The following is a 10,718-nucleotide window of genomic DNA, read 5'->3' as shown; positions in this document are numbered from 1 at the left end:
GGCACGATCTCGGCTCACTGCAACGTCCACCTCTAGGGTTCAAGCGACTGTCCTGCCTCAGCTTCTAGAGTAGCTGGGATTATAGGAGCCCACCACCATGGCCGGCTAATTTTTGTCTTTTTAGTAGAGACGGGGTTTCACCATGTTGCCCAGGCTGGTCTCAAACTCCTGACCTCAGGTGATCCACGTGCCTCGGCCTCCGAAAGTGCTGGGATTACAGGCGTGAGCCACCGCACCCAGTCAGCAACGTATGTTTTGTAGAGACACAGACAAAGATGTGATGTCAAACACACTAATGTGGTTGCCTCATTTATGGATGGGGGACTGGGCTGGTGAATGAGGATTAAAGGAATAAATAAATAAAACAAGAGAGGGCCTCTGTACAGAACGGTGATGACAGCGTGCCGTCGAGGAGAATGATGAACTCAAACTTTTGCACCTGAGAGCCAAACAAAAGCTCAAAACCAAAATCTCTCTTAGAAATGATGCCACTGACTTTAGGATGGCACTCATATCTGTGTGAGTGGGAGAGAGAAGGGTTTGGGGCAGGGATTTGACTGTAGCTGTAATGTTTTATTCCTTTAAAAAAGATAAGATAATCTGAAACAAAATGTTAATATCTGTTGAATCTGGGGAGAGGCTATGAGGGTTTCTGTTAAACCATTTTGTGTACATTTTAAATACAGTCATGCATGAGTTAATGATGGGGAATAAGTTCTTAGAGATACGTTGTTAAGCAGTTTTGTTATTGTGTGAACATTATCGAGTGTACTTACACAAACTTAGGATGGAATAGCTGACTATATAACTTAGACTATATGGTCTAGCCTATTGCTTGAAGGCTGCAAACCCATACTCCATGTTACTGTACTGAATAATGAAGACAAGTGTAATACGATGGCAAGTATTTGTGTATCTAAACATAGAAAAGGTACAGTAGAAATGTGGTATCGTAGTCTTATGAGAGTACTGTTGTATATGCAATGCTTTGTTGACTGAAACATCATTATGTGGTTCATGACTGTATATCATAATTTTAAAAAATATTTTAAGAGGTTGCCAATCAAGACACTACAAACTAATTTTGTGGCTTTTGTCAAAATTCATTTCTTTCTTTCTTTTTTTTTTTTTTGTTTTGAGACAGGGATCACTCAAGCAATCCTTCTGCCTTAGCCTCCCAAGTTGGTGGGACTACAGTCTTGTATGCCACCACGCTTGGCTAATTTTTTTTTTTTTTAAATTATTGAATAGAGATGGGGTCTTGCTATGTTGCCCAGGCTGATCTCAAACTTCTGGACTCAAGTGATCCTCCCTTCTTGTTCTCCCTAAGTGGGATTACAGATGTGAGCCACTGTGCCTGGCCCTGGCTAAATTTTAAATTATTTTTGTAGTGACAGGGTTTTGCTATGTTGCCCAGACTGTCTTGAACTCCTGGCCTCATGTAATCCTCCTGCCTTGGCCTCCCAAAGTAGAATTCATTTCTGTTGCTAGGTTGGCCTCTGAACAGTTTTACAGAGCTGAATGCTCTAGTCTTCTGTGACACAGTCTTTTTCTTTTTTTTTTTTTTTTTTTTGAGACGGAGTCTCACTCTGTCACCCAGGCTGGAGTGCATTCGGCTCAATCTCGGCTTACTGCAACCTCTGCCTCCTGGGTTCAAGGAATTCTCTTGCCTCAGCCTCCCGAGTAGCTGGGATTACAGGCATGCACCACCATGCCCGGCTAATTTTTGTAGTTTTAGTAGAGACGGAGTTTCATCATGTGGCCAAGTGGTCTTGAACTCCTGACCTCAAGTGATCCACCCACCTCAGCCTCCCAAAGTGCTGGGATTACAGGCATGAGCCACCATACCCGATGACACAGTCTTAATAAGGAGAAGAATATGAAGAATTTGACTTTTTATTGATGCTAAAAGCATTAATAAATAAGATCTTTGGAAAAATGTGGAAAATGGAAAATGTCACTGCCTGCTGTCTGTAGGGTGAAATGAAATGGCTAAAGAGCTATAGGAGCATTTTGTTCTCACTTGTTGGGTCAGATCAACTTCCCAGGACTTTTTGGGAAGATCACAAATCCTAGACAATCGTACTGCACTGCTCTAGGAATTCTTGGAGGGCTGGAAGTCTCACAATTAGGGCTTTTTCTCTGGGCACCAACCTGACACGCATGGCAAGGGGGCTGAGCAGTTGTCTATGGTATAGATGCTATATTCTATGACTCCTGTTGGCCCTAGCCATAGCTGATTGGTATAGAGGGTCAAAGCTGGGCCAATCAGATTATCTGTCTCAAGATTCTGGAATTCTGAACTGGGGCAGAGACAGGGAGCTGTGGGAATGTGGTTGCTTTAATGGGAATGTTCTGGTGAGGAGATGCATTGACTCCAGATGCTTACATCCTTTCCTGAGGCTCAATTGTTCAACCTTTTCTTGAAATTTAGGGCCAAACAAAAGGTCAAAACCAAAATCACTCTTAGAAATGATGCCACCGACTTTAGGATGGCACTCATATCTGTGTGAGTGGGAGAGAGAAGGGCTTGGGGCAGGGATTTGACTGTAGTTGTAATGTTTTATTCATTATTGTGAATTTTGTCATATTATTGTGATTTGTCAGGGTTGATTTCTATTACTTGTCCTATGGAGTAGGTTACTATATTTTTGTCTTCTCACCTTCCCCTGGTGCTGCTGTTAATACATATGGTATCTTTATTGAGTTAGAAAAAGATGCCTGACTCTGGGTGGACAAGCAAGAAAAAGCTGTTCTTTCCTTCAGGCGGACACAGCCTCTAACGAGGGTGGAAGGTTTGGCCAGTGGAGCACGGGCTGGGTTTCAGGCCATACTCTGCTCACTTCCTTGGCCCAGCCCTTTTGTGCATTGCACAGATGACATCCCCATTTATGGCGGCCTTACACCTGTCCACCATGTGCTTTTGGGATGATCTGTCTTCTGCAGCTAGGCATTGTTCAGAATATGAAGGGCTATTCCAGACAAGATTCACGGGACATGGACTATCATGCAAGTCCTATTCTGGACTTTAAGGCTCATGACAAAGATGTTAAAAGTCAAACCTGCTCAAAGTCAAGACTTAAAGGAAATGTAGAAAAACTCTCTGGCCTGATAAAGTCCACAGAAGCCTCATCTTCTGATGAATGATCTTCAGGCTTGAAAGGATGCCTTCCTCCAAACAGGCTGGCAGACATTCTTGAAATGTCAAAGGATAGGCCAGGGGTGGTGGCTCACGCCTGTAATCCTAGCACTTTGGGAGGCCAATGTGGGCAGATTGCCTGAGCTCAGGAGTTCAAGACCAGCCTGGGTAATGTGGTGAAACCCCATCTCTACTAAAATACAAAGAATTAGCTGGACATGGTGGTGCGCGCCTGCAGTCCCAGCTACTCGGGAGGCTGAGGCAGGAGAATCACTTGAGCCCAGGAGGCGGAGGTTGCTGTGAGCCAAGATTGCACCACTGCACTCCAGCCTGGGTGACAGAGCAAGACTCCATTTCAAAAAAAAAAGAAAAAAAAGAAAGAAAGAAAGAAATGCCAAAGGGTACTCTTCCATCCCCCTGTGAAAAAAACTAAAAAACTAGTGGTGAGAAGTTAAGAGCAAGATCACAGGAACAGATGACAAGGAGGTGTCTGAAGGCCACAATGAGAGTGACATGGAAACCAGTCAAGGCACTGATGGCCATGGGAAGAAAATGATCTCAAGGAAGAGATAATTCCTTGAGAGGAGGCTGCTCCAGCTCTGATTTGTTCATTCATTTTACAGTCAGGAAGCCACTCCACCCCAGAAGAAGGTAATATGAGTCCTACTACCTTTCTGAAAGGAAGGTGAGTACAGAAAAGCAAGACAGTAACTTTCCCAAGCCAGGGAACCCCTGTCTCCCCAACTTCTGCATCATGTAGACCATTTGTGTCTACAACTTACAGGAGGCAGTGTAGACTAGCAGTTGAGAATGTGAGTCTAGAATCAGAATGCCTGGGTTCAAACCTCAACTCTGTCACTTTCCAGCTATTTGGCCTTGGACATATTACTTAAACATTTGTGTGTTTTAAAACGTGTACACAATCCTTTGACTCTCTTTCCATCAAGAAGTGGAGCCTATGTCCCCTCCCTTTGAACCTGGGTGGAAATGTGGGAGTGCCTAGACAAATAGAATGTGGCAAAAGTGACACTGTGTGATTTCCAAGGCTAGGTTAGAAAAGACCCTGCAGCTTCTGATGATTCCTTTAGGGACACTCATGTCGGGAGGCTTCAGCTGCTGTGAAAGAAACTCAGCTACCCTGAGGCTGCCTTGTAGAGGGACTGCATTTAAAGTGAGAGATTCCTGAGGAGTTCCAGCCATCCAGCCCCAAGCAGTGTGAACCTCCTAGTCTAGACCCCAGCATTTGAGCTGACCTCAGCCCCAGCCACCAATTGACTGCAAACTCATGAGACACCCTGAGTGAGAACTGCCTAGCTTAGTCTCTGTCAACCCTCAAATTTCAGGAACAAAATAAATGATTGTTGTTGTCTTAAGACCACTGTTTGGGGATGGTTTCTTATCATGCAATAGATAGCTGATGCAGACTTTTCTATAACCTAGAAACGGAATGCTGCCATCACAGAACCTAAGTCATGTGGCTTTAGGACTGGGAGATGGGTAGAGATTGTAAGGACTTTGAGGATATTGTTGATGGAAGTCTGATAGTTCTCAAGGAAGTTGCTGGTGAGGGCTTAAAGGAAAGTGAGAAATTTTTATTAGAAGCAGGAGGAAAGGGGACAAACCCTTATTACGTGGTGGAAGAAAGTTAGTAACATTGTCACTTGAAGCTATGTGAGCAATAGAAAATGTGCCTAATGAAGGCTGGGCACGGTGGCTCACACCTCTAACCCCAGCACTTTGGGAGGCCGAGGTGGGCAGATCACATGAGGTCAGGAGTTCGAGACCAGCCTGGCCAACACGGAGAAATCCTGTCCCTACTAAAAATACAAAAATTAGCTGGGCTTGGTGGCTCATGCTTGTAATCCCAGCTACTCGGGAGGCCGAAGCTGCAGAATCGCTTGAGCCCAGAGGGCAGAGGTTGCAGTGAGCTGAGACTGTGCCACTGCCCTCCAGCCTGGGTGACAGAGTAAGACTCTGTCTCAAAAAAAAAAAGAAAAAAAAGAAAAATGAAAAAGAAAATATGCCTAATGAACTAATGGTTTGGGCTAAAACAATTTTTAAGCAGACTGTTGAAAATGCTAGTTGGATTAGAAAATGCTAGTTGGATTATTTTAGCTGTATATGATAAAGACAGAGAAAGATGAGTTAAAAGGAAGCTTTAACTTTCAAGCAAAATTTATAAAACATATACAAGAGCCAGGGGCTTGCTGGATTTGAAAATAAATCTGCTTTTCATTCTCAGCCTCCCAGATGGCAAAAGATTCTCAAAGTATGAAAGGGCTTCAGGACAAAGATAAAACCCAGAGTGGGACTATAAGAACCTTTGTTAAAATCTCAGAAATATCTAAGGCTTCATAAAATATTTTGAATAGACAAAGGCCCTCTAAGTATTTCAAGAGTGTGCCTCAGTGCTCGCTTCAGCAGCACGTATACTAAAATTGGAACAATACAGAAAAGATTAGCATGGCCCCTGTGCAAGGATGACATGCAAATTCATGAAGCACTTCATATTAAAATAAAAACAAATTAAAAATAAAATGAAAAAGAGTGTGCCTCACAGATCCTCTTCATTAAACAACAGGGCTTCTAAGTATCTTAAGTAAATCGTTTTACACCAGCCTCACATTGAGAATGTAGAGAATGTTTTCTTGATGAAATGTTTGGTTATAGCTTTTGACTAACAGAGTGAGCCCCAATAGGATTCATGGGAAACCCACACAGTTTTTAATAGAATTATTTTGTCAGAAGCACCACCAGCTTGGGCAAAAAGGGTCAGAATAGTGTGAAATGAAAAAAGGCTTTTGGACCCCCAAAATTCTATGGGAAGGAAACAAGCTGAAAACTACTCAGTTGGAAACACCAGGTGTATTGGTCTGTTTTCACACTGCTGATAAAGACATACCTGAGACTGGGCAATTTACAAAAGAAAGAAGTTTAATTGGACTTACAGTTCCACATGGCTGGGGAAGCCTCACAATCATGGCAGAAGGCAACGAGGAGCAAGTCACATTTTACGTGGATGGTGGCAGGCAAAGAGAAGATGAGCTTGTGCTTCTTTTTTTAAAACCATCAGATCTCGTGAGTCTTATTCACTATCACAAGAACAGCACGGGAAAGACTTGCCCCCATGATTCAATTACCTCCCACCAGGTCCCTCCCACAACACGTGGAAATTCAAGATGAGATTTGGGTGGGACATAGCCAAACCATATCACCAGCCATTTTTTATAGAGAAAGAAGGATGATTCAGAAGGTGGAACCAAGAATCTAGAGAACAGAGCCAAAAGCCACAAAGAATCATTCCCAGGCAGTAGAACTGAGCCCTAATCAAGAAATTGGCAACACAATATGAGCCTGAATGGATTTCAGAATTGCTATGGACCAGTCATGGCTCTGTGCCTCCTCTCCCCTCTCTTGAATAAGAGTGTTTATAGTGGCTACACTATGCCTATCTCATCATTGGATGTTCAGTGTGTAAGCAGCAGATAACTTTTTTTTTTTTTTTTTTTTTGACACAGTGTTTCACTCTTGTTGCCCAGGCTGGAGTGCAATGGTGTGATCTTGGCTTGCTGCAACCTCCGCCTCCTGGGTTCAAGCGATTCTTCTGTCTCAGCCTGCTGAGTAGCTGGGATTATAGGTGCCTGCCACCATGCCCAATTAATTTTTGTATTTTTAGTAGAGAGAGAGTTTCACCATGTTGGCTAGGCTGGTCTTGAACTCCTGACCTCAGGTGATCCAACTGCCTTGGCCTCCCAAAGTGCTGGGATTACAGGTGTGAGCCACTGCATGCGGTCCAGTAGCAGATAACTTGTCTCTTTAGTTCACAAGTCTCTGAATAAAGAGGAATAGTACTTAAGGAAATGTGCCTGAGGAATTACATCTGAGGAACTTCCTCCATACCTGAATGGTTGATATAATGGGATCCTAGACCTCTCTAGCCTAAATCTGATGCCATAATAGATGAGATTTTGGGGGATCTTTGCAAAGGAATGAGTATATTTTGTATGTGAAAGGAATGTAAATAATTTATGTCCAGAGGATAGACTATGGTGGTTTTAAATATGGCTCAGATTGTTGACCCATTTCCTATCAAGAAATGGAACTGTTTCTCCCTCCTGCTGTACCTGGGCAGGCCTTTTTAACTGCCTTAACAAATAGAATGAGGTAGAAGTGACACTGCATGGCTTCCAAGTTCTGGATCAGGAAAAGTGACGCAGCTTCTGTCTCTCTGGATATATGCCTTTGGATTGCTGAGTGGCCATGTAAAAAACTCCAGCTATAGCCGGGCGCGGTGGCTCATGCCTGTAATTTCAGCACTTTGGGAGGACAAGGTGGGCGGGTCACCTGAGGTCAGGAGTTTGACACCAGCCTGGCCAACACGGAGAAACCCCATCTCTACTAAAAATACAAAAAAAAATTAGCCAGCCATGGTGGTGGGCGCCTGTAATCCCAGCTACTCGGGAGGTTGAGGCAGAAGAATTGCTTGAATCTGGGAGGCAGAGGTTGCAGTGAGCCAAGATCGTGTCATTGCGTTCCAGCCTGGGCAACAAGAGCAAAACTCCGTCTCAAAAAAAAAAAGTCCAGCTATTTTGGGGCTGCCATGTTGGAGAGCTCATGTGGAGAAACCACACAGATAGAGAGATGCCTGAAAGACCCTGGCTTTCGCAGCCTCCGCTTGTTTGTGTCCTCCCAGCCCAGGCACCAGACCTGTGAGTGAAGAAGCCTTGAAACTGATCCTATCCTCAGTCACAGTCTGACTACAGCTTCATGAGACCCCAAGCCAGAACTTCCCAGCTGATCCAAAGAAACCATGAATGATAATAAATGATTATTGTTGTTTTAAACCACTAAGTTTGGAGGTGGTTTGTTATTCAGCAATACATAACCTCTTTTCTAAGTGATCTAGAAAACAGGACAAACAATAATACCTACTTCAAAGGAGGGAAAACAAGTAAGGAGTAAATGAGTTAGACTTTGTAAAGCACTGAGCTCAGGGTCTGGTATGCAGTAAACTCTCAATGAATGCTATTTACCCTTTACAGAGCTTCTCAGTGGCTGGTATCTTGAATGATAGTGAGTCAAACAAAAGTGGTGTTTACTTTAAGTGTACTCTATTTAAGAAGGAACTATGTGCCTGACAGTGAATGTTTGTTGAATAAATGAAAAAAGACAATGATTTTCTTTTTGGGGGGGTGGTCGCTACTCTCCAAAGATGGCCCTGGATGATATTCATTCCCTTCTAGAGTTCCTTCCCGTGCTGAATCTGGTCCAGGCTTGTAATTCACCTTAAGCAGCAAAATATGTCCAAAGTGGTGCCAAGCCATTGCCAGTCCTAAACTTTAATAAGGCTTGGTGACTTCCACTTTATTACTTCTGGGAGCCCTTAGCTGTGATGTAAGAAGTCTGGATACCCTCTTGGAGAAATGCGCATGAAGAGGAGATGTGGAAGGGCCACATGGAGAAGGAGGAGCCCATACAGGACAGCAGGAGAGAAGGAATCCCATCAATGCACCAGTCCCAGCCTAGCCCAGCCCTCCAGGTTCTTTCCAGGGTACCTGACATGTGAGGCCACCATCTTGACTCAGCCAGCCCAGTCTAGCTCCCAGATGACTTCAGTTCCAGCTGCCATCTGGCTGCAGCAGCATAAAAGTCCCTTGGTGAGATCAGTGGAAGAACTGCTCAGCCAACTTATAAAGTTATAAGAGATAATAAATGTTTGTTGTCCATTTTAAGCCACTGCATTTTAGAGTGGTTTGATACATACAGGTAGATAACCAAAAAGTAAGTGCCTAGGACAGCGCCTGCCATACAGCAGGCATTCAATAAATATTGGCTGACTAAATGAATGAACCTCTTCATTCTCTTCCTGTGAAACCTTTTCTGCCTGGGTCTGGGCCTCCTGAGACGCCCTCCTTACCTGCTGCTCACCCCTCCTCACCTGCTGCTCACCCCTCCTCTTCTGCCTTGCCCATGTCCCCCAAGGAATAGGGGACTAAAGTAAAATGGGTGCTCCTGTTGGGTTCCCAAGAGCACAAAACCCTGAAACAGGTCTCCCTTGTGAGGAAATTCCAGGCTGTAGATCTCTAGGTATAATGGAGGCAGGTCTCTGTAAGTTTGTTAAGAGAAAATAGAAGAGAGAATCTGTTCTGGTTCTCTCTTGGGTTTGAATTCCAGTCTCTCCAAGTCCTGACTGTGTGGCAATGAACTGCTGATTCAACCAACTTCCTTATCTGGAAAATGGGTTCAATGTCAAGGCCTTAGTGTAAACAAGTAACCATGACATCCTTGGTACAGCACCTGGAGTGTGGGAGGTGCCATGGGGTCATTAGTGTGTCTGCATCGTGGATGAATCTCATAGACAGGATGAACTAGGTAAGCTGGTCATGAAAGCACATGCTGTTGGTGATTCCATTTCAATGAGGTTCAAAAAGAGGCAAAATTAATTGATGGTGAGAGAAGTTCCAAATCACGGTCACCTCTGAGGGGGACGAATGTTGACTGGGAAGGGGATCCAGGGAATCTTCTGGGGTATTTGCAGTGTTCTACATTTCATCCAGGTGTGTTTGTATGTAAAAGTTCATCAAGCCACGCCATTAAGACGAGTGTGTTTTACTGAGTGTGTTATATCTCCCTAAAGAAGTTGAAAAAATGTTCGCATGTCTCCCCTTCATGCAGGAGTGATCTTCAGGAATTCTCCAATTCTAGGGCCTCTTGCTCCTCATGGGCTCTCTGTCCTGCCCCCTCACCCCAAGTCTGCCCTAGAGCAGCTTTGGCAATGATATCTTCCTGCATTGCATGAATTGGCTGGCACTGCCCAGCCTGGCCTGGGGCTGAGTTCCAGGATGGGAGTCATGTTGAGGGATGCATTAACCTGCTCCTGAGAGGGCAGAGTGGCTGGGCTTGGGTGTCCTCAATGTCTCTGGGGGCTGGTGAGTGGGAAGGGGGCCTCACCCCTATACACGGGGATGTCTGGCTGTGTTGGGGGCCGGGGGTGTTTGGAATAAGCGAGCAACAGCGGCACATCCTTGGCATGACGGGCCCGCTTCCTGGAAGGAGAGCAGGGAGGGGTGCTGCTGAGGGTGTCCAGGTTGGGCTGAAATGAAGAGCCTGTCCTGCTCACAACCCTGCTATTTGGAACCTGGAGCCATGACGTTCCTCAGAGTTTCCATTCTCTGTGCTGCAGCTGTTGGTTACGTGTTTCATTCAAAATGCTTTGCAGGAAGCAGCAGGCTTCACATTCCAGGGTTTGTAGTCATTTTTTCTCTCAGAGCTCTCGGGCTGGGATTAGAATGTTCTTCAAGCCACACTGTCCTCGGCTGGACTCCCCAAGAGGAAGTGGGTGGGTCTCTGGGGGAAGAGAACATAGGCCTAAATGCAGGGACGGAATGAAAAAAGATTGGCCAGGCGTGGTGGGTCACGCCTGTAATCCCAGCACTTTGGGAGACTGAGGCGGGCAGATCACCTGAGGTCAGGAGTTCGAGATCAGACTGGCCGACAAGGTGAAACCCCGTCTCTACTAAAAATACAAAAATTAGCTGGATGTGTTGGTGGGTGCCTGTAATCTCAGCTGCTTGAGAGG

General features: G+C 44.9%; 1 protein-coding gene and 1 pseudogene across 1 annotated transcript in view, besides 2 other annotated features; both read left to right on the top strand.

The window, feature by feature from the left end:
* Window positions 1–10,718, top strand: part of LOC107985876 (uncharacterized) — a 38,401-nt gene that overhangs the window by 5,404 nt on the left and 22,279 nt on the right. The gene's annotated exons all lie outside the window — the stretch shown is intronic.
* RNU6-242P (RNA, U6 small nuclear 242, pseudogene) lies at window positions 5,548–5,654 on the top strand (annotated as a pseudogene).
* Window positions 9,473–10,011: an enhancer, noted in NCBI's record as "H3K27ac-H3K4me1 hESC enhancer chr2:43314169-43314707 (GRCh37/hg19 assembly coordinates)". NCBI's record gives its function as "activates a minimal SCP1, AML or CMV promoter by ChIP-STARR-seq in primed H9 embryonic stem cells {active_cell/tissue: H9 hESC(primed)}" and the evidence as "EXISTENCE:reporter gene assay evidence [ECO:0000049][PMID:30033119]".
* Window positions 10,012–10,551: an enhancer, noted in NCBI's record as "H3K27ac-H3K4me1 hESC enhancer chr2:43313629-43314168 (GRCh37/hg19 assembly coordinates)". NCBI's record gives its function as "activates a minimal SCP1, AML or CMV promoter by ChIP-STARR-seq in naive H9 embryonic stem cells {active_cell/tissue: H9 hESC(naive)}" and the evidence as "EXISTENCE:reporter gene assay evidence [ECO:0000049][PMID:30033119]".

This window comes from Homo sapiens, chromosome 2, assembly GCF_000001405.40.
Source record: "Homo sapiens chromosome 2, GRCh38.p14 Primary Assembly".
NCBI lineage: Eukaryota > Metazoa > Chordata > Mammalia > Primates > Hominidae > Homo > Homo sapiens.
This window is presented reverse-complemented; position numbering and strand designations above follow the sequence as displayed.